Consider the following 24,566-nt stretch of genomic DNA (forward strand, 5'->3'; position numbering starts at 1 on the left):
CTTGCAACTAGAAGGAGAACACGAGGTACCACTACTTAACTCTTCCTCATAACATAGAGTTGAAATACATCCTGCAGATTTGTTGTTAAAAGTCACTCCTTAAATTACACATTCACATTCTAATGTAGAAGGAAACGATCTTTTTGAAAGAATATCCGTTGAAAGAAATACATGAATTTTTGTTCTAATTATTTGAAAATCCCTCCTCCAATGTTTTCATATTTATTGCATACATCACAGAGTAAATAAATTATTTGCCAGGACTTGAACTGCAGAACAAAAATGACAAACAAAAATTTTATGCATACTAACTTTAGCACCTGCCATGTAAGACTTTGCAGTATTTTCTCCCTAAACACACATCACAGTTACTCAGAATTCTAGCAGATTTCAGTTTGATACTCTGCAGCTCTGAGGACTGGTTCAGATGTGTGCGTGTCACTCTATTTGGAAGTATTCGAGCATAAGGATTGGGAACGGGAAAAGAAGAATGAGGATGACCAAGTAGAAAGCATGCTTTTGCACTGTTGCGTTGATCAATCTGGACCTGAGGCCAGCATCCTGGTGCCTACTAGGCAGGAGGAAATCAAGATGTATAAAACTAAGGTAGGCCAGAGAAACAGGAACCAATCATGGTGGACCATAAAATGAGGAAGTCATTGGACATTTAGAAAAAGGACAAACAGAGTGGGCCTGAAGGGGAGATTGGCAAAGAGAGTAGTATACTTTAGTGTGTAACACAGCAAAACACAGTTACAAAATCTTCTTAAAATTTGGAGACAGATTCTGAAGCATATCTATCAAGAGAATGTTTCTATCTCAAGGTACTTAAAAGAATATTGAAAATATTTGTTCTTAAGGTACCTCACCATTATCTTATTTTAGCAAGCATTTAAAAACAGAACTACCATTTGACTCAGCAATTCCATTACTGTTTATATATCAAAAAAGAAAATAAATCATATTACCAAAATGGCATATGCACTCACATGTTCATCGTAGCACTGTTCACAATAGCAAATACATGGAATCAACCTAGGTGCCCATCAGTGTTGAACTGGATAAAGAAAATGTGGCACATATACATCATGGAATACTGTGCAGCCATAAAAAGAATGAAATCACATCCTTTGCAGCAACATGGATGCAGCTGGAGGCCATTAATGTTAAGTATATTAACATAGGAACAGAAAACCAAATATTGAATGTTCTCGCTTGTAACTGGGAGCTAAACATTGAGTATTCATGGACACAAAGATGGCAGCAATAGACACTGGGGACTATTGGGAGGAGGGGGAGGGGTAAAAGGGTTGAACAAGCACCTGTTGGTTACTATGCTAACTACCTGGGTAATGGGATCATTCGTACTCCAAACCTCAGCAACATGCAATTTACCCATGTAACAAACCTGCACGTGTACCCCCTGCACCTAAAATAAATTTACAAAAAAGGAAAAATAAATAAAAATTATGAGACCTTTTTCATATGAGTTCACTCATGATCTCAATCCTCTTTACTTCATGTTTTTTCCCATTAATTTTAAATTCTTCAATGAGGTTTCTCCTACCAAAATATTTTCAGGGATGTACTCTAATTTGGGAAAGAATATTGCAGTCCTAAGGGACTCTTTTAAGTCCATTTAGTAAGGTCAGTTTAATTTTTTACAAGTGTAGCGGTGGGGGAGAAGTGGTAATAGTGCAGTATGAAGTATCACTGGCTACACTTGTTCACGGCACACGTCTGTGCCTCACAGCATGCCAGAATGCTTTGTCTGTATCATCTCATTTAATCCCGAAAACAACTCTCAAATTGTTTTCCTGGTAGGAGCATCTAAGTTTATTTTACAAATTTTATTTTCCTGTCTTCAGTTATTTTGTAGTCTCAAGAGCAGATCTAGGAAGTACCTGTCTCATTTGCCATTTTTATACCAAACAGGGCTGAGACTAGAGTGAGGCATGTAAGGTGCTCATCTTGGGTTCAGAATTTAGGTGGTGTGAAGAAAAATCTCAGCGATCAAGATAAATAACACTTTAATGCAATATTTCAAAAACTCGAAAGATAGCTTCAGTACCTTGTATGCTCTCCATCAGACTACCCTTCATTAGCACCCAACCCCACATCCACAACCCACTTCTTCATAAACACCAATACTGGTGAGGTTATAGAAAAATGAGCCCATTCATTTACTGCGGATGTCCCTGTAAACTGGTAAATGTGAAAAACAATATGGAAACATCTGTTAGCGGCCATAAAGATGTCATGGAACATTCAAGAAATTTAATTTAGTATCTTGATGCTCTGGATGTTTGGGAATGCTGTTTCCACTCTTATAGAACTTATCTTCTAGAGTAGCGAGGACAGCAAACAAAAAATAGACAGTATAATCTCAAAGAGAGCTAAGTACATGAAGACAATAAAACAGAGCAATGTGATGAAAAAGAGCACTGGCAGCCTGTAAGCATATGAAAGCTGGGATTTTTACTTTTTTCTTAATCCGTGTCCTTAGCGCCTACAACAGAGCCTGTCCCATAGAAGGCACTCAGTTCATATTTGTTGAAGAATGAAAGTGCTTGGTGGTGAGAGTATAGTGAATGTGGGGAGAGTGAGAGAAGAGGAGACTGGTGAGTGAAAGCAGAGGCCAGCCAAGGAATGGCCCTGCAGGCCAGAGTTTGGGATTTTCCTTTACTTCCAACAGGAAACCTGAGGAATTATGTTTTGAACCTACCAATTTCACTTGTTAGTATTTCTCCCAAGGAAATAGATCAACCAAGTAAAAACCGAGTTGCCCCAAAATTCTCATTATTTTATTGTAGTTTAAAATTTTTAAAAAGACTTGGTATCAACTTAACCAAGATTAAAGGAATGGGGAAAGGTTTAACAAATCATGATTCAGCAACTCAGTGGAATATTACACAACAATGTTAGGAAATTACGTATGGAGATTTTAAAAACATAGGAAATTCTCCCTATGTTTCCTGGAAAAAGATTAATAAAAAATATATATACTAACATATTACTATAAAAAGTCTGTGGACTAGCTGTTACTGAAATGTAATATACAAGATGAAAATGGTTGTGATACAGTAGTAGAATTTTGGGTGATTATTTTTCTACTTTCCCAAAATTATCTTTAATATTGTCACATTATTTTAATAACAAAAATGTTGCTTAATTTGTGTAGAGTTTCTGCTTAGGGTGATGACAGGGTTTTGGAAATACTGTGATGGTTGTACAATATTATGAATGTAATTAATGCCACTGAATTGTACACTTAAAATGATTAAAATGGCAAATTTTCAGTTATTTATCTATATTACCACAATTTGCCAAAAAAAAAAAAAAAAAAAAAAACAGTTATCTTCTATAATCATCAGTGTGGCCAGCAGCCCCAAAGGTGGCTCCCAGCGATCCCACCTTCTGGTCTTCACACCGTTCTCTCTTCATCCCAGGATTGGTCTTGGTGACCAATAGGATGTGACAGAGGTTATTGCACATTACTTCCAAGGTTAGGTTATAAAAGATTGCATCTCCTGTCTTGGGCTCTGGCTCCTTCTATCTCTGATCACTGGCTCTGGCAAAGCCAACCAACATGTCATGTGCCCAGCCCTAGAGAGAGGCTCACATGGTGAGGAACTAAGACCTTTTTTGCCAACAGCCATGTGAACGAATTACCTTGGAAGTGGATCCATCAGACCCAAACTTCAAATGAGTACAACCCTGGCTATCAGTTTGACTGCAACTTTGTCCCTGAATCAGAACTACCCAGTTAAGCTTCTCCCAGATTCCTGATCCTTGGAAACTATGAGATAATAAATATTTGTTGTTTAAAAAAAAAAGAAAAGAAAATATAAATTTTTTTATCTTGCTTTCATTACAGCTATCCTCATGGGTATGCAATAGACACCAGCTCTTTTTTCCCTAAATTTGAAGTCTTGTTTTCTCCTCTTTTAATGGAAGTGCTGGGTGCAGCAGACTTTATTAATTAACATTAAAAGGAGTGCTGTGCAGTAAAGTAAAATTTATTTATTTCCATCTGACACCTCACAGTATCATGGTCACAAAGTCGAGTGCATCACTAGGCCTTGGCCTGACATGAGATGCCTATAACCATGTTTTTGCATATGGAGGAGATTCGTAAAACTAGCTACATTGCTAAGAGAATATTAAGTGGCAAAGTGAGAATCAAAGTAAACAGCCCAAGTAAAAGAAAAGTCTACACCCTCAACAGGATACAGCATTTATGGATGTCAAAAATTTTTTCTTTTCACAAAAGGGAAAATGAAAAGCTAATATAACCTCAAAATGGACTTGAGTAAAATTCAGGTATTGAAAGGAAATTTTATTATATAAAAACATATTCGGGCCGGACACAGTGGCTCACACCTGTAATCCCAGCACTTTGAGAGGTCAAGGCAGGTGGATCACCTGAAGTCAGGAGTTCGAGACCAGCCTGGCCAACATGGTGAAACCCTGTATCTACTAAAAACACAAAAATTAGCTGGGTGTGGCGGCAGGCACTTGTAATCCCAGCTACTTGGAAGGCTGAGGCAGGACAGTTGCTTGAACCCAGGAGGCAGAGATTGTAGTGAGCCAAAATCGCACCATTGCACTCCAGCCTGGGTGACAAGGGCGAAACTCTGTCTCCAGGAAAAAAAAAATACAAAAAAAATTTTCAGTGGTTAAAAAATACAAAGAACTAAATTTATAAATTTTCTTGGACCTCTATACATGGAGTTAATATATCTAATTGATACAAAAAATTATATCTAGATTACACACTAATAAGATTTTTTTTTGTATACATTCCAGGATTTTCTGAGTGCTCTAGAATCATCATGTCTTACTTTCATAATGAGAAAAAAAAAACAAGCTATAAATATAGCCTATAGATGGAATGATACAGGGAAGAGAGCTCCAACATTTGAGGCGTGTAATGGGCTCTGCCTCACTTGCTGTGTGACTGAGGCTACGTTGCTCCTCCTGTCTGAACCTCAGCTCCTTCATCTGCAAGGTGGGATGGTGATGATCACCTCACAGGCTGGGTGTGTAGTATAAGGGAGATCACATGTGAAAAACATCGCTAGCACGTAGTAAACCATATGTTTCCTTCCCCTTTGTATATCTTCCCCCAGTATTTAGAACAAGGGTTCCATCTCCTGGCTGGCCATGTCTTCTGTGTAATGGGAAGAGATGAGATCATTCACCAGGTAGTTGGTTCAGTGTGCAGTTGGGAAGACACTGTGGGTTAGAGAAGGCAGATAGGAAACTCCTTGTAGGAGTGGAAAGCATTGAGAGGGATTCTGACATTTCTTTCTTAGAGAACAGGGCCTGTGTAAAGGATGCTCAACTATTCAGCAGTCTTAATCCAATTCTTGCTTTAGACATAAGCCGTTTATCTTTCTTTCATAATGAAAGCATATATTTTCAAATTCCAGATGCAATGTCATAAGATAAAGAAGCTGAAATTAGAGTGCCCAGCAAATAGATTTTTCATTTGCTTTGAACTAAACTTTAATAACCCATGACCTCCGACCTAACTGAATATTCTCTCATTTTGATATAAATGGGAGCATTATTTTTGGTGATTTTCTGCAGTCCTAACCATTTAATACGTTTAGTCTACAAGATAATTTTTTAGGGATAGCATTAGGAGATATGCCTAATGTAAATGATGAGTTAAGGGGCGCAGCACACCAACATGGCACATGTATACATATGTAACAAACCTGCATGTTGTGCACATGTACCCTAGAACTTAAAATAAAAAAAGAAAGAAAAAGAAAGAAAGAGAAAAAAAAAAAGAAATAAAGGCAAAAAGAGATGAGGAAACATCTCTTCTATATCAACATAGAGTGCTAAACTATATATTGCCTTTAAGAAAAGTTCCTTTTTACACTTTTCTTATTATCTTGGATCATGTCCAATCTGTAAGGAAATAAACATGTGAAGAAAGAGTTCTGTGGAATGTTAACTGCTCTGCTATTTTTCTTCTTTTTATCATGGCCCAAGATTCACCAAAGTTGAGATAAATTCACCATGCCTTCTTTAAAAAGCGTGACAGCAAGGCATTCTTCCTGTAGGAGTCAGACTGTAAAAGGTGATTTCCTTTTACTCCAGTTGGTTTAAGCCTGTAAAAAGCATTAAGTGAAAAATCTGATATATTTTTAGGGCATTTATTGCATTACTAAGTTATACTTTCAGTTCTCAGTGAAAGGTTTATTGAGAACATAAACTTTGAAGAGGTTTGTTCAGGATTAAAGATATATTTTTTCTTCTCTTTTCATGAAATAATATTATACAAAATTATGCCTTTCAAGAGCTATTTTTAGTGCTACTTATAGTTGAAGGACATACTGTTCCAAAACCTTCCTCTGATGATGAGATTTGTAACTTCTCTAGGGTTTCAGAAGAATGAAAGGCTAGGTAGCCACCATTTCTGTTAACTCCATTTACCATAATGCAGATGCGCCAATAAGTTACACTTTTTACCAGAGCCTCTGATGGTGAAAATGTTTTTCATACTGCTTGGATAATTTGGACTAAATATTTATAACCAATCTCTCTGAAACATAAGCCATTCCTAAATTTTTACATAGACTGAATTTTTGGATAAATGAAGATTTGGGTTTAAACACCCATTCAATCTTTTATCATAAAAAATGAGAGTTGTCTGTTTCAGTTGAAACAGTGCTTTAATCAACCACTTTGAATTCAGGAAAATTGGGTAATCTTTATTCTCCAAATAGTATAAATATTCAAAGCATCACAGGAGTATAACATTCACTAACAATTTACTTTGCTTCACTCTTGATTTCCTAAAAACATTTTAAAACCTGTGAAGTCGGTGAAATAATAAGATGCCTATAATCGATTTAAGCAAGTTATGGTAAGAAAAGGTCAATCTTCACAGCAGTCCTGTGAAGTAGGAGAGGGCTATTAACTTTATCCTAATCTGTATCCAGAAGTTGGAAAGGTTGTGAGTTACCTAATGTCTTTCAGGTAACAATGGGATTTCATACAGGGTGGGTTTGTGTGGTTATGAAGGTCTAGTGCTTATTATAGATAGGCTATAACTGTAAATAAAATAACTGGGAAGCTGGAAATCAATTCTGTTGAATACATGTCTTTGGGTTTGAGGATATTCTATGCTGACTTGTGAGGTTAGACTTTTAAGTATTCTGCAAACCTTATTCTGATTATAAAGGTCAGTTATTGTAAATGTATTTTTCTTCTATCAAGTCTTCTAGTCAGAGGGTTGAAAAGTAATTATTGGTGCCTCTTTTGCTGTTTACTGCTTTGTTGAAGTAAAATACTTAATAAAAATTATAAAATCATATAATCGCTGGTTCACTAAATCTAGGGATCTTTTCTAAAATATAACTGAGATACGAGTATAATGACTGACAGGTTTGTACTACCCCATATATGAAAAATACTATTAATGTTTGGTGATCTCTGATAAATCATAGGAGAAGTTTTTAATTATGCTATTTATGCATGTAGAATTATAGTTTAAGTGCACATGGATTATAGTGTTCTGTATAAATTATTAAAAATAAAACTTCATCACTGAAAACAGTCACTGCCAGTAGGCACTGGGGAAGATTGCAAAAGGAATTAAAGTGGAAGCTCTGCAAAAGCAATGTAGTGAAGCAGTTACCTTATTCTGTCCTGTAGACAGTAGAGCGGAAACATGATCTACTTTTGTAGGAGTTAAATGAAAATAAGTTTAAATAAACGAGGGCTCTTGTTGAAAAGAATATAACAAATTCATATATATTAGTCTATGAATATTTTATGATAATGTCTGTATCAATGGATTTATGAAAGGTAAATATGAAAATAGCATCATATTAGTACGCAGGAAAGGCTGCTATAATTATGTCATAAGTTAACAGATTTTTAAAAAGCAGATCACCCTTTCTTTGGTTTTGGAATGATCTTAAACATTTGAAGACATCTCTTTTTCCAGGAAGGGTAGAAAATAGTAATAAATAAAATCAAGGCTGGGGAATTACTACCAAGCTAAGCTCTGAAATCCAAAGCAAGAATTTAATATTTTCATTTTTCTGGCCCACTTTTGGCAGTTTAGAATAGCCTTAGAATGTCAGTGCTAGCATTTTCAAAAACTTGATTCATTTCAGATCCTGCTGAGGGCTCTTCAACACTTTCTGTACTTTTCCATCAGGTAGAGTTGACTGCAAGGGCAGCTGTGTATTGAGTAAGGGTTAGATCTGATGGGGAGACCTAGCAGTGTAGATTCGTATGATTATTCATCTTGTTCATGTTAAGGCTGGACTCTCCCCATTGTCCTTATTTAGCATAGGACAGTGGAGGTGTTAACAAGAATATAGAAAGAATAGTCTCTATAGCAATATAGTTCAAAATTAAAGGAAAAGAGAGAAATATGGAAAAATGTAATGTGTTCTTAAGGAAAACTTTAGGAATAATCTAATAACCCCTTTACCAACTGAGTAATGTACAGCTAGCAATAACTCTTTGGCATGGCATGCAATGGACACTAAGATGTAAGTATCAGAAGTCTGAATACTCCCCATTTTGTAAGCATGACCCTTTGATCATCTGGATCAAATAAAATAATACATGGGAAGGCATTTTGTGAACTGTAGAGCTGCCTACAAATAGCATTATTCTAATATAGCATTGGCTGTCAAGTGAGCTGACCATTATGGGAATGAGTGTCTGCCAGGGAGATTGTGGCATTAAACAATTTCATTAGAATAAGTGAATAAGTATTGAGTATTTTTATGTACTAAAACTACAGCCTATTTACAGAAACTAATATAAAAATGTTATCAGTTTGTTTTGAGGGGAGGAATCTCATTATTTTTTTTACATTGAGTACAGTGAGAAAGGAAGTCCCAGTGTTAAACAACTCTGTGTCTTCATTATTAATGTAACTACGAGTCTTGCTTCTCATTTCATTGCACAGCCCAGCACCTGGGGTTGAGAAGTACACTGCACAGGGCTGAATCTTTTCTTCTGTTAGTCTTTATTTTCCCCAAGAGTTTATTCCAATGTCAGATTCACTCATGTTCTGCTTGACCAATTTCTGACCCCTCCTTGCAAAATGAATAAATTTAAGCCTGTTTGCTAAAAGTAAGTCATTTTTTGAAAAACAAAAGCAGTGTTATGACCATAGTACTCCCTCTAAGACAAAAAGCTTTGATAAGAGGGGGTTACATGAGCATTTGAGCATTTTGCTTTGGATGTGTAGACAAGAAGACTGCTGCATCTGACAGTTCTGTTCAGTAGTTAAGGAAAACAGACAGACTTGTCTTTATTGGTGGGTGGACTTCTTCACAAATCATCCAGATCATTTTCAAGAGATCAGATGTTGATTAATTCAGTGGCCAGCACCCGCATTGGTATCCTTGCCACAGAGATGTGCACTGTCAATTGAAGGGATCCAGGCTCTGTGGCTTTGCTCTGTGAAGAGTGTGACGGTGCATAAAGTATGAGTATAGACCCTCTGCATCACTCACTCCAGGTTGGTTGTTGTACTTCCAACTCTGTAAAAGAAAGCACACTATTATGCTTCAGACATAGGCCCATAGTGAGTGTAATAGTATCCCGTCACCATATAAAATGTAAGTGAGGAACATTCTAGAACTTTTTCTTCCCATTTAAGCTTTTTATATGGAATTTTGTATCTCCATTGAATGGTCTAATATGTAAATTACACCTACCACACCTTTACTCTTTATATCCAGTTTTCATGAGCTAAAACAATAAATTCCAGTGGAGAGTTTTATAGAGATTTAGAAGCCACCCTTGGGAACAAAATGTAGCTTGCCTTAGTTGTTATACAAGCAGGTGTATCATCAGTTTTAGAGGGAGTCTTTTAGAACTATAGTGTAAAAAAAAAAAACCCTAAATCAAAACAAACATCCATGCAGTCCTAGTTTATAAGTTAACCTTAAAAAGGCAAGGATCAACTTCCTTCCCACTTCAAAAACCAAACCAAATCAGAAAAAAAAAAAAGAAAATGACATCTTCCGGGGGATGTATAGTTTGAAGAGGTTCTTTAAGGACCAGGACCTGAACATAAGATGTTTTTGCTCAAAAATGACTGCCTACTTCTTCAATTTTTATTTCTCAGGTAATGTGAAACCTCTATAGATATAACCATTGATATACTCATTACTCAAGCAAACATTCAGTCATTTAGCAGATGTTGTGTCTCCACATTGTATTAGAAATGCTGCCTTCCGGCCGGGTGCGATAGTTCACACCTATAATCCCAGCACTTTGGGAGGCTGAGGCGGGCGGATCAACTGAGTTCAGGGTTCGAGACCAGTCTGGCCAACATGGTGAAACCTGATCTCTACTAAAAATGTAAGAATTAGCCAGGCTTGGTGGTGTGCACCTGTAATCCCAGCTACCCAGGAGGCTGAGGCAGGAGAATCGCTGGAACCCAGTAGGCAGAGGCTGCAGCAAGCCGAGACCATGCCACTGCACTCCAGCCTGGGCAGCAGAGCAATACTCTGTCAAAAAAAAAAAGAAATGCTGTCTTCCAGGAAGTAGCCCTCTTCGTCTTGCCACAACCAGTGGACCTCCTCTTTTTCTTTTTTGCACCACCATTTTTGTCCTCCACTTTCCATTCCATCTTTTCAACTTTGATGGTACTCTCTAGTCTGGCAGAGGACTCCAGGTTTACTTTGCTCTTTGTCTGTTTTCAGGAAGTCTTAGAAACTTAGGTTAGATTTTGAAAAAGCGCTAGTTTCAAGGTTGAGTGGAGAGAAGTGAGAGGCACTGTTTGTTCCTTTCATTGGTGGCAGAGCAGGAAATTCTGGTAGGTCAGCCCTGGCAGGCCAGTACAGCTGTGCTAACTCTCCCTGCCTCTAGTTCACAATCTGGTTCTTCCCAGATTGGAGGATATGTAGCATTAGAGCTAGGACAACTCTTAAAGACAATCTATTCCATCTTCCTCATTTCTGAGGTATAAAAACTAACCTGTACAGGGAATAAGGAGAATATCCTGCTCTATATTCATGGTCTAAGACTGTTTTTCACTATTCATGTTACCTTCTTTCATACATTTTTTTAAAAAACTGCAAGGAGACCGAGAGAGAGAGAGAGAGAAAGAGAGAGAGAGAGAGAGAGAGAGTGTGTATTGCATGGATAAGGACTAGAAAAATGCAGAAAATTCTTTATAATTAGAAGAGCAGCATACTGTTATTTTCAACTGTATTAAAAGCACTTGTTTCATAGTTATTCGCAATATAAGATTCTCATACCACACATACTCTGAATTCAGTAGGGATTGTTTATGTCTTGTCATCCAGGTTTATAATTTTAAAATTCCTTAGTTTTTTTTTAAAAGAGTTTCCATGAACAACAAACATCTTTTTACAAAATGAATGTAGAATGAACATAACAGTCTCTTGTCCCACATACCCTTCCAGGTTTTTCTGACCCCTTGTGAACATAGAGGCTCATTGAGTACACCCCCACCAACCTGATGGGCCCAGTTCCATCAGCCTGAGGCAGATTCTCACTCAGTGACCTGCGATAGAACACTGAAATCTATAGGAGGGCCTCACCATTGGCAGCAGCATCTCTGGGTAGGCTGGAGCATCCCTTGAGGCGTAATTGGGAATCCCCTCAAGACAAGGAAGTTCTAATTTCAGCCACTCACAGGAGGGCAGCTTTCCATCCTTAATGCCTGAATGTTCTTTGTGAAAAATCTGCAGTCTTCCATCTCTCTAAATGGCTCCATCTTCTGAATTTTTATTATAGTCCCCCTGACCTGGCCCTCTCACATGGCCCAATGTTCATCCTTCTTGATCAAAATGTAGAACCATCCAAAAAGATTGTCCAGTTCCCTTTTGCTAACCTCTCTCACCCTCCCTCCAGCCTATGTCAAACACTGATCAGTTTTCTGTTTATATAATTTTGGCTTTTCCAGAATGTTGTATAAATGGAATTATATATCTATAAGAGGCCTCTTGCCTCTTCACTTTGGATGATGCATTTGAGATTCATCTAGACATTGTGTGGTGAAAAAATGTCAGCCTGAATCAACTTCAGATAATTAGTTTCTGAGACTAAACAGAGGTGACCTAACAGAATTAGTTTTAAAAGAGAGAGATGGGGCAATGAAAGAATACCAGGGAGAAAGACCTAAAAATTATAAGTGTAGGTGATTATTTTGTGATTATTCCAGGGAGAAAGACTTAAAAATTATAAGCATAGATGATTTTATAGTAACTAATTAGATTACAGGGATTATAAATATATGCCTATAGGGAAAAAAATATCTCTTCTACTACTCCTAGTACTAAAAGTCACCTAAAATGCTGGATACAATACACCAAGCACGTGATTTCAGATGCGCAGCTGAACCAAGAAGAAAATAAGTAAAATCTCCAGAAAGGCCAAGAATGAAGAAAGACAGGAAACCAGAAGAATAATCAAATGCTAAAGTTGCAGCTGCCCTGAAGTTGTTCTCTAAAATAGAAACATGAAACCACTTGGGGATCAGGAAACAAGGCCTTCGGCCTGAAGAAGGTAGGGAATAGGAATTGAGATTCTCCACACAGAGTGGGGACCCTCAAAGCACATTAGTGGGCTTCAGTAATGTAATTCAGCCCCAGTAATGGACTCAGAAATAACTGCTTCCAACAAAGAAAGACCACAAGAACAATTGTTGGTGCCAGCCTTCACTATGGATGGGGATGTAAAAGTCTGATATGAGAATTTCTACGTATTCAGGCTTAAATTTACACAGTTTGCATGCTCTTGGAAACCAACAGCAAGAACTTGGAGTACCCATGTATTGGGAGAGCCTCAGGCCTTTTGACAGAAGCAAAAGAAAATCCTTATGGGGAAACACATTCTCAATCCAGGCCTCTCAGGTTTCCCATAGATTAACATTAGACAACCATGGGCTCACAATCCAAAAATTATAAAGCATATGAGGAAAAAGTTATTGCAAGTGAGGATCAGTAGCAAAAGCAACAAAATTGAACTCTCCTGTCACCCAGCATTTTAGGTATTGGGAGTTATCAGACATACAACTATATTTAAAATGTTGTAGTAAAGAAATAAGATCATATAAAAAACTTAAGAGACTATCAAAACTGAATAGGCAAATTTGTCAAAGAATTGAAAAGACCTTATAAAATCAAAATGAACAGGGAAAATAGCATATTAGATGCAATTGATTAAATAATTCATTGAACTGAGCGATGGCTCTGAAGTAATTGCCCAGAATGGAAAACAGGGACAAACAGATGGAAAACATGAAAGAGTAAAGACATGGACAATTTAATGAGATCGCATTGCATCCAAATTACAAAATGAGAGAAGAGATAGAATTGGGGAAAGATAATATTTGAGGGGTAATGGCTGGGATTTTTTCTTGAATTGTTGAAGAACATGAAACCTCAAATTCAGGAAACACAGTGAGTACCAAGCAGGTTAAATAAAAAGAAGACCTAACATTGCAATTGCAGAACTCTGAAGAGGAAGAGAAGAGCACAAAGAGGCAGAAACAACAGAAGCCTATGGAATAATGTCTTCAGAGGGTTAAGGGAAAATGCCTTGAGCCTGCATATAGAATTATTAAATATATACCCAGCCAACCCATTATCCTGTATGAAAACAAAACAGAATTTACCATCAAATGATGCTCATTGAAATAACTGCTATCATTTGTATTTCTGGCACAAAAAAATAATCTGGGAGGGAATGTCTGAAACATGAGAAGAAAGGTGATTAAATAAATTAGTAAACATGGGTAAATAAAATAATAACAGTAACAGTAATAATAATAATGTCTAATATGTGTCCTTAAAAAGCATAGAAAATAGAAATAAAATATTAGACAATAATATGATAGATGAGACTGTGTCATTAGAATTAAAGTATTCCAATATTTTTGTACACGAGAGTAAAAATAAAATTGAACTCTAAATTTTAAGTTAAATAGAGTTAAATATTAAAAAGTTAAGGAGCCATCCACTTGGAGAACTGAGGGTGAAGATGTAAAGTATGGAAATTTATTTTTATATCTTTGATGGTAAAAGATACTAAGCCAACCTACACCAAGAGAGGTCACTGCTAGCTGCAGGTTGGGCAGTTCTGTAGTGTTCTTGGTCATGCATTTGCAAAGTTTCTGAGGGGCAGTGGAGATTATTATCAGGCATACAGCATGACTTCTGTGCAAACAGGTGAACTATAGAAAGTCATTACCATTCTACCAAGCAGCTCCATGAGAGGGGTTAACTAGGACACAGGAGAATCAAATTAAAATCAGGAAAGCATTTTACAAGAGTTTTGACCTAGATGGGTAAACCTAGGGAACTTCCTTTCTGTTGCCTCATTACTGAATTAAAGAATTGGTCTTGCTTTTCAGGAGGTTCATTTCACGTCCTGTTACTGCCATCTTCATACTCCAAAGCACTGAAGATTTCAAGTGTAGTATAAAGTGTGGTACATTGAAGTAGACTTCAGTTATTTTTACATTATTTTTTACATCATTTCTGTATGCTTTATTCAAAAAATGTTTTCATTTTTAAATAACCCTATTGAGTGCTTTTTAACTAACATAACTCAAATGAATAGGTCAGGTCATGTGAAGTCACACACAGGACATTCTAGTCAGTATGACCTTAAATGAATGTTAAAGGAAATTTAAAAGTATGGTCTTACCCAGTAGTGAGAATATGTGAAGCAACTTACAATACTGCTCTTGTGAGAAAGAAGGCATCCAGGTTCTGAATAATGGTACACTGCCATTTATCCAAGCCTGTTGATGACTGGTTATGTTTTGTAAAATGAAGTTTCTTGGAGAGGCTAGTTGTTGTATTAAATATTACTGTCATCATGTTGCTGGTTTTGGGAGAGCTCTAGTGTTCGTTGTCCAAGCATTAAAGTGGAATGAAATATGAAGATGCAGTAAAGTTCGTAAGACAAAAGTGAAATGGAAATGTTAGAAGCAAGCAGTTTTTCTCTTTGGAGCAGTATTGTCCTACAATGCAGCTGCACTTCCTAGACACCAGCAGTCAGAGAAACAACTCTTGCAGTAAATAAAACCGGGCTACCTGATGCAATTGCTTTGGAAATGGAACTTTTAAGACAGGACCCAGTTTATCAAACATATTAGCCAATGTGTAGGCTTAGCGAATGATAAGTCTAATGAAGCTTCTGCAGGAGTATTGGTGAGCATTTTTACCAGGCCTCAAGAGCTTGACAGAATTGAAACCTCTGTATTTGGATTATGATCAGCTTGTTTGAACACTCAGCAAAAGATGCTTGTTTGTCCAGGCGCAGTGGCTCACGCCTGTAATCCCAGTACTTTAGGAGGCTGAAGCGGGCGGATCACTTGAGGTCAGGAGTTCAAGACCAACCTGGCCAACATGGTGAAACCCTGTCTCTACTAAAAATACAAAAATTAGCCAGGCATGGTGGCGCAAGCCTGTACTCTCAGCCACTCTCAGGCTGAGGCGTGAGAATCGCTTGAACCTGGGAGACAGAGGTTGCAGTGAGCCAAGGTCATACCACTGCACTCCAGCCTGGGCAGCAGAGTGAGACTCTGTCTCAAAAAAGAAAAAAGAGAAGCTTGTTGTTCAACACTTAAAGCATGTTTACCATTCGTTTGAGTTGACCTTTCCTGAAATCATGCAGTATTGAGTTATGTGTTCTTGAAGTCTATTCACATTCTTGAATCTTATCAATATATAAGGAATATAGAGATATTGGGTGCCAAAATACCCAGCATAATACTTGTATGTTTTTAATGTCCTACAGAATTTAAAACCTAAGAACTGTGAACAGTCTATGCCTTCTGTGATTTATTCCTTCAGTCATTTCAAACATTAATAGTGGTGCCTGTATGGCTATTTGCCTGCCACTATATGTTTATAACTGCCACATTTAAAACAGTGTACGTCAGATTTGTGTACCCATTGATTTTGTTGGCTTTCATCCAAGTTTAATGATGATTTCTTAATGTCTTTTTATAAATCTCATTTCGTGCTATTATGAAAACCTCCATTTTGAAAATCACAAACCTCTGGTTGAAAAGTTCATGCAAAGTCCACATTGCACAGAAGCACATATTTTTAATGTCTGTCTCCAGACCAAAAAAGTCTTAAAGTTAATTTAATGTCTGCATTTGAGGTGCAACTTAAAAGAGAAGATCTGAAGGAGGAGTGGGAGAGCTATAAAGTAGTTTTAGCAAAATGTGTTTGTGTTGTTTAGGACATATGCTCTTTAGTAAATATTTTTTAAGGTAGACATGCCTTATGATGGTAGCTGAAATAATTGTTAATAATAAAATTTTTGAAAATCTTGTAATTTTTTCCCATATCTATTGGAAGTTGTTTACCAGCTGTTATTGTTTGAAATGTGATTGTTGTCTATCTCTTCCCAACCTCTCTTGCAAAAAGAGAAGTTAACTTCTGGTAGTGAATTGAGCAGAAATGTAATATTTTTTAAGCCTGTTGCTCTGTGTAACTTAATATTTGCATACTTAATTGTTTTATTATACAATCAGTGAAATGGTAATGTATATTGATGTCCATTCAACCATATACTTACACTGTCTGGACTGTGTGTTTCCAGTTTTGTGGGACAAATAATTTGTCAGCGTTCACCAGCTTCCAAAAACTTGTGAAAGCTTAAACACCTAAATTGATGATGAATGCAAAAAAGAAGACGAAAAATTAAGAGGAATTACCAATTACATGGAAATAGAATGCATAACTTCTAGAAGTTATACTTCTAAAATAGTTCTATCTAAAATAAACCCAATCCAAAAGAAGACAGGTAAAGAGAAAAAAGGTAAAGGCGGACAAAATAGGATGCAGAATTAATCTGGTAGCAGTAATTCCAAATATATCAATAATCACAAAATGTAAATGGACTAAACTTTCTCCTTGAGAGATGAGGATTATTTAATTGGATAAAAATTAAACTTAGCTGAATAATATTTATGAAAGAGACACCCTAATATTACATGTATGAAACATTAAAAATAAGCAGGTAACAAAAGGTATGGCAGGCAAATACTAAACAAAAGAAGCTGAGGTCATTATATTGTATTAATGTGAGAATAAAATGAACTTTAGCCTAGAAAGCTTTATGAAAGATAAAGAGTGTCATGACATAAGGATTAAAGACTGAATTTACCAAGAAGAGATAATAGTGCTAGACTGCTATGCATTTAATTACCCAGCCTTATAATATAAAACAAAAATTGATGGAATTCCAAGGAAAGATTGAAAAAAGTCTCCCATCACAATGGGAGATTGAGAACCACCACCACCATTCTAACAATCTGATAATGTACACGTATGACTTCAGATAAAACTTCCAATTAAGATATCATACATGGATTCCCAAAAGTATCATGTCTTAACAACTTAGGTAGACCGAAAAAAGAGGTTCTAGTGATGACAAAGGCTCTGATGTTGAAAATGCATGTAGAGACTTAAAATGAAATTTCTAAACTAAAATTTTATATAACAAATATGTATTAACTAAATATCACAAATGAAAATATGATTATTGGCATATTAAAGTGTAGTCAATTTAGTGGGGAATGGGACTATCTTATATTGATGAATTCCTTATATGAGGCATATACTGTATTTAAATATAGTCAACAATTTACTGCAGAAACAGAGATACAACTATAAGTGTTTATAATTCTTCGAGATAATGAAACCATGCTTCAGATGTGATTCATGGCTTCTTGGAACTGGAGGGACTGCAGACATAATGTGGTTCATCACTATTTTTCAATAGATGAGAAAACCAAGATCAAAAATAGTATGTCTTGCTTTGTATTTCATGTTTTTTATACTCTTGACTTCTGAGTTAAGTACTTGTGCACCAACTATCGCAATCACCTTTCTCTTCTTGTATTTACATGCAATGTAACAACATACAGTTTGGGCGATTAATAATATTCCTTTTTTTCTTTTAATAATAGTTATTTGTCTGAATTTAGGAAAATGATAGCAGTATTAAGCCTGAAACTCAGATCTAGTCCTAATCTGGTTGTTCTATTTTATCAAAACTATATAAAATTGATATGAACATACTGTTCACCATAATTAACTATGAACTGTACATTCAATATAACTTTTAACCATGAAGCCTATCTCAAACTTTGCGTTTGATTTTTTAAAAATATGAATGAAAAGTTGTACTAGTGATAAAGTCTTGGGAAGAGGAAGGAATAATATGAATGGCCCTGTGCCCTCTTAAAGGGGAAAAAACTGTGAAGAATTTTGAGAATGCTTTCGTTCCCTGTGGACAAATTTCTCTCTTCCAGGGAGAGACAGTTAAAACCAATCCATTGATCCATTTTTTTCGTGAACAGCCATTGCAGCAGCCACACATTGAACCCATTTGTGAGGCCTTCACATAACAAGATGTAGAGAGAAAGTCTCTTAGTTTGGATCTTTGTGTAATATTTTTCTTTGCTTTTCCCCTTTTTCCTTCTCTACCCAAATCCATTACCTCATCTTCTCTTCATACCCCCATCCCCAACAATTTGAAATAAATACTAAAGAATTGGTTGAGGAGGGGAAGGAGGAGATTGTTGGTCATTGAGGAAATATGTTTGTTGGCTAATTGTGTCTTGAGTAGCTTCAAGGATTTTTAAAGAAATACCTACTGGAAGGTGCAGCTCTCCCTCACCCACTTCTGGCTGCCTCTGAGAGTCACTGTATATATTGCACCGGGTTTCAGAAACTGGAGAATCCATTGGGAAATGCCTTTAAAATAACCTGTGAGAGAAAGAGAGCATGGCATATGCAAACCACTTTAGAGTCAAGAAGTTCTGGATGGATTGGAATCTCCTCTCAACTTGCTACCCAAGTGATCCACTGCCATCTCTGACTCCTACTTGGCTTCCACCACTACAAAATAGCAATTGTTACCTTCTCAGACTATAATAAATACGAGTGTTAAAAGTGCCTAGGAAAGTGCCTGACGCATGTTCAACTATCCAGAAATGCTAGCCATTATTAGGAATACTTTTATTATCATTATTATATTAATTATCCAGGCTTGATTGCTCTGAGTAGAGAAATAGAGGTTCCATGAAAAGCAAGGCTGAGCTGGACTGAGAAGTGCTGCTACCCATTTGAAAGCTTATACCACATGAAAGACTTTATTATTACGCCTTTTTCTGTAATCTTGAGACACATATTTTCTATCTACTGTTGTTTTAAAGGTCATCTTGAATTGATTCAGCCCCGTATCATCTAAGCACATCCCCTTTGCTAACCTGTTTATTAATATTATGATAGTTGATATTTGACAGGGCACTGTTTCAGTAATGTTAATTCATATTCAATGCAAGAAAATATAAATTCTTAGAGGAAAAGAAACTTTAGTAACTGGAGAATTTAATAGCAGTTTTATTTTAATTCTTTAGTATTTGTTATTAATTTTCTATAAATATATCCAGATGTGGGTATAGTACATAGATTCTATTAACAAATTCTAATAATTATTTGATATGTTGTCTTCTGAAATTTTCTACCTCTGGACCTAGTTTTATCTTTTCGGAAAGTATCAATCCTTTGCCTATAGTAGAAATATTTTAAATCAATTATACTGTTATACCTAGAGTAAAAGTAAGTTTGAAGTAACAAATACTCTGAGAACCAACATGCATTTTGCTTCTGTTTATTTCAGCAGGTAATTTGTTTTTCTAGCCAGGAATAAATTGAAATCCAGAAAAATTAGGTAAGCTTTATGTCTTATTTAGTGGATTTTCTTGTTTGGTCTGACCTCTCTTTTTTGCTCATGTTTTTAGGCTCAGCTATGTGAACCATGCAGAGGACCTGGCCTCCAAGCTCCTACAATGTTCCCCAAAGAACAGACTGTCGGCACAGGCTGCCTTGAGCCACGAGTATTTTAGTGACCTGCCGCCACGGCTATGGGAACTCACCGACAGTGAGTATGACAAATCCACAACATCCAGTCCAAGCAGACACATCATTTTATTTTGGCATCTGTATGTAACGTGTATGCAGAGATTCACATATTTGTGTGTCCACAAACATAAGATAATGTATGTTTGTATGTGCATTACAGGTGTGTGTGTGTGTGTGTGTGTGTATGTGTGGAGAGAGAGAGAGAGAGAGAGAGAACAGGGGAAGGGGGGCCATGTGTATATATATTTAGTGGAATCCTGCCATTCATTTGCTAGCTTACCAGACACAGGAAGAAAATGGATTCCTTTTTTGCTATCTCTGCTCTGCAGTCTGCAGCTGTGCATCTTTGTATTTGATTATGTGTGTGTCCAAAAAAATGATCTGAACAGTCATAAAGGAAAAGGAAAATATGATTTACATATTTAGTGCTTTATGCATACAGTACTTTTTAACTGGCTGCAGTACACAGAGGAGCCGATGATTCATTTCTGTTTGATTCTCAGAGACCATCTTGGTTGTAACAATAACCTTAAAAAGGGCTGCTATGCAGCGAGCTGAGGAGCAGAGTTGGCAATTGGCTAATGCACTGAATTGACATGTACAGACTGAAGACATGTAATTCATTTTAACTGCAAATGCTCTTGGTATTTGTACAGACAGCTCTTCTCTGAATCTTTTAAAACACATTCCTGGGTGGGTTTTGTTTTGTTTTTATAAAAGTCTACATATTTATACAGCCTTTTAAAATTACATTTTAAATATTTGGGGGAGGATTTATGGCTGGGAGGATCTCAGATTTCTTCCAGAGTGTGAAACAGAATTCTTGTGAAATTTTGTAAAAACTATTGCCGTCAGAATATTTTTGTTCAATGGTGATATGTTCTTTCCAAAGAACAATTAGAGATATTTCTTCTATACTCTTTTCTGATTGCCTTAAAAATGAACATACTGCATATATACATTAATATTTATAATGTGTTTATTAATCCTTGGTATACATCACTTACAGTAGACATATGATTATTTCTTCATTATCTTGGATTTTAGACTTCTTTCATCCATCATAATATTGGATTCTCCTTGATGGCAATAACCCTTTATTTTGGAACTAAGTTCTAAGTGCAACTCCTCTTGGGTATTTCTATCCTAAATCTTTTTTTGATATCCCACATTTATTTCTCATTACTTTTTTTTAACCCTAAAGTCACTATAGATATATTAATCTACTACTCCCCTTAATGCTTAGCAAATCCTCCTTAACATTTCACGTATTTCCAGCCCATGTTTACTCAACACTCTGCCCTTTCTAAAGTCTACTCACTGACTATTACAACAGCTATCCTCAATTTTTTTTAAATTAAAAATTAAATCCCTATGGGAAAATAATTTTCCTATACTGAAAACAAAAATGCTGTAAATAGGCTCACTAGTTTACGGCTCATCACACTCAAACATATGGTTTGTTTTCCCATTTAGTGTAACTTGTAACTTGGTATCACTCCTCCTTGGTGACATCTCAATCCCATCTGACTTGAAGATTGAGTTTAAGCCAGGATTTTGATGGTCTATGAATTCTGAATTCTGTAGTAGTACTTTTCTGTTAATATGGACTTATTACCCACTTGCCACTTAGTTTATCAGCCAGTGGTTAAATCCAGTTTCTATCAGTGAGTAAATGCCTACACATTATCACTCGGCAGCAGACTGCCAAGGGAGACAGCCTTGTCCCCGTCATTAACAAGCACAAAGTATGCAGAACACCAGAGGGGAATTAAAACCACAAAAAATACCTCAGGGTGGTATTTTTAATATGAGAATTTAATTTGTAATTTTACAGATTAAGAATTTTGGCTGCATTAATCCCTTTATCAGCTCACAGCAGGCTATTTGCAGAAGCATAACCGTAAGGCGATATTCATTGGCAGAAACACGTCTTTGCATAACGTTAAACATCAGGAGCAGTGAAACCTTTTGAAGGGGGGAGAATAAAGATGAAAAATCATTATATTTTTAAACCAAGATTCTACTAAATGCCTCCGGTAACAATTTTGAGTTACAGAAATGCTATTTCTGTGTCTAGAAGATAATCATTATGAGGCATAAATCCAGTTGCAAGAAAGGACAATCCCAGTATTAAATACTATAGTCATTTCCATTTAGAACAACGTGGCTGTACTTGTAAACATGTTTACAAAACAAAGAATTCCCAGACTTTGGAGACTTAGGGAATTGGTTTCTTTAAGTGAAATGACTGGTTTGGGTGACTTATTATCTAGGTTAGTATTCTGCAGAGTATATTTAGAAGTTTTTTAAATTTTTATAATTAAATTTCATATTAGCATAGAGTCTTGTAAAAGTTCACCATCTGGCAAAGGCAGCAGTGGCAGTGGCAGCAGTAGCAGCAGCACCTGTAATACCCTTACGTATTTCTTTTTTAAGGAGATTTGGAAGGAGATCCACCTGGAAAGAAGTGTTACAGAACCAGTAAATGGATTGTCTTAGCAACCAAGCTGTAGTTTAGGAACCTCGCTGTCTTAGTTTGGTCACACTGCAATAACAAAATACCTTAGACTGGGTGGCTTAAACAGCAGACATTTATTTCTCTTGGGGATGGGAGGTCCAAGATAAAGGTGCCAGCAGATTCGGTTCCTGGTAAGGTCTTTCTTCTCAGTTTGTGAAGGGCACCTTGCTGTGTCTTCACAGGGTGGAGAGAGCAATCTCTTCCTCTTCTCACAAAGCCATTAATCTCATCATGAGGGCCCCTCCCTTATGAGTTCATCTAACCCTAATTACCCTCCTAAGGCCCCATCTCCAAATGCCATCACATTAGGGGTTAGGGCTTCAACAGATGAATTTGAGGACGGACACAATTCAATCCATAGCACTCTCATTCTTAAAGATGGCTCATAGCACTTTCTAAAGAATTTCCACAAGAGGAAAACACTTATGCAAGCAGGAAGCAAAGTCAGGTTAAAAGGAGAAGATGGGAACAAAAATAAGTTACAAGTAGATTTGAGCCTTCTTGGCCTAGTGTAATATGTCAGACCCCATGAGAAGGGCATCAAGTGTGGTTGGAGCCTGAGTAACACAGAGCCCTGCAGTCATTTCATAGATTCGTACAAAAGTGAAATTACGGGCTTATGTCAGACTCTGGCTTTGGAAGAATACATAGTAATGTAATATCTTTCTTTAGTATACTATTCCTTAAAACCTCATCAGGTTACATAGTACCAAAATTTAGAGGTAATGTATTAGTGTGGCACTGAAGCAGGAATTATAAAAGCAGAAAGCAAGAATAATGGTACAGTTATCTGGGGATCTGGCTGTTAAAGCTGGCTAATTCTGGTGGCACCCTGTCATTCTCCCTCTGTCCTGAAACCCCAACAGCTTTGTCCCACTTCTTCTCAAAGATTTAATTGCAGGGAAGTAAATGGAGGGCTGATTTAGAAGAAATTCATTACTTTTCCCAAATACACCACAGGGCATTCTCCTGCATATACTATCAAGTTACATAAATAATTGAAGCTGAACTACCCTTGTCAAAGTAAATGAACAAAATACACTTCATAGCACAGAGTCCTTGATTTTATTACACTCATTTGCTAATTCACAAAACTCAAATTCAGTGAAAGAAGGCCAACAAATCGGTACAGTGTGAAGAGCACTGAACTGGGAATCAGACCACCTGGATTGCAGCTTCAGCTCCACTGTTAACTAGCCAGGGAACTTTGGACAAGTGCCTTGGTCTCTCTGAGCTTCCCATTTCTCACTTAAGGAGCAAGTGAGGTGGGCACAGTAGTCTCCAGGGACCTTTCTAGCTCTAGAGTTTGTCGATTTTCCCACATATTCCTGTATATGTTCTGTATATCATCCTAGAACAGCATAATGCTCTTAATGTAGCTCTATGCTGTCTTTTTAAAAATAAAACAGGTGCACCCATTTCAGATTTAAGATTTGCTACCTTCAGTTCGTAGACTTTCATGCTGTTTTGAATCCTTTACAACCAGGCTTTTGTGTCCACAACGCCTGGCTTTCGAAGTCTCTATCCATTGGTCTTTTCCCAGCCTATCGAAGATTCAACACAATTGACAACCATCTCCTCCTACTAATACTTCTTTCGCTTGGTTTCCAGGACAGTATTCTCTCATTGCTTTCCTTTAGTTTAGAAAACTAAAGTCTCCTGTTCACACTCCTTTGCTGATTTCTCCTCATCTGCCAGACCTTTCACATTAGAGTGTCCTGGGGCTGAATCCTCAGATCTGTCTATCTGCATGGACTCCCTGGAGCCTAGATGATCTCATCCCATCTCATGATTTAAATATCATCTATACACTGGCAGTTTTCAAATATCCATCTCCAGTCCTGTCTTCCCTGACTTGACTTGCATATCCAACTGACACTCAACATTTCCATTTGACCATCTAGTAGGCCTCTCACACTTAATCTTACCAAAACTGAACTCATCTTTCCCCTCAAACTTGCGCCTTCTCTAGTCTTACCGTTGTCAATAAATAGCAGCATCATTCTTCCAGTTGATGGAAGGTATCCCTAATCATCTTTTTTTGGTTCTACTCCACATTCAGTTCTTCCACAGACCGTATTGTTGCTACCTTCACAGTATATCCAGGATCACGCACGCCA

At 36.8% G+C, this 24,566-nt stretch overlaps 1 protein-coding gene and 1 pseudogene across 4 annotated transcripts in view; both read left to right on the forward strand.

Annotated features, from left to right (window-relative positions):
- CDK14 (cyclin dependent kinase 14) overlaps positions 1-24,566 on the forward strand; it is a 614,270-nt gene that overhangs the window by 496,417 nt on the left and 93,287 nt on the right. For all 4 annotated transcript variants that reach the window (NM_001287135.2, NM_012395.3, NM_001287136.1 and 1 more), the window contains one exon: positions 19,805-19,944. In NM_001287135.2, coding sequence (NP_001274064.1) covers positions 19,805-19,944 — 140 coding nt within the window. The remainder of the gene's footprint in view (positions 1-19,804; positions 19,945-24,566) is intronic.
- On the forward strand, positions 14,654-15,051 carry PTP4A1P3 (PTP4A1 pseudogene 3; annotated as a pseudogene).

The sequence above is a fragment of the Homo sapiens genome, chromosome 7, assembly GCF_000001405.40.
Source record: "Homo sapiens chromosome 7, GRCh38.p14 Primary Assembly".
NCBI lineage: Eukaryota > Metazoa > Chordata > Mammalia > Primates > Hominidae > Homo > Homo sapiens.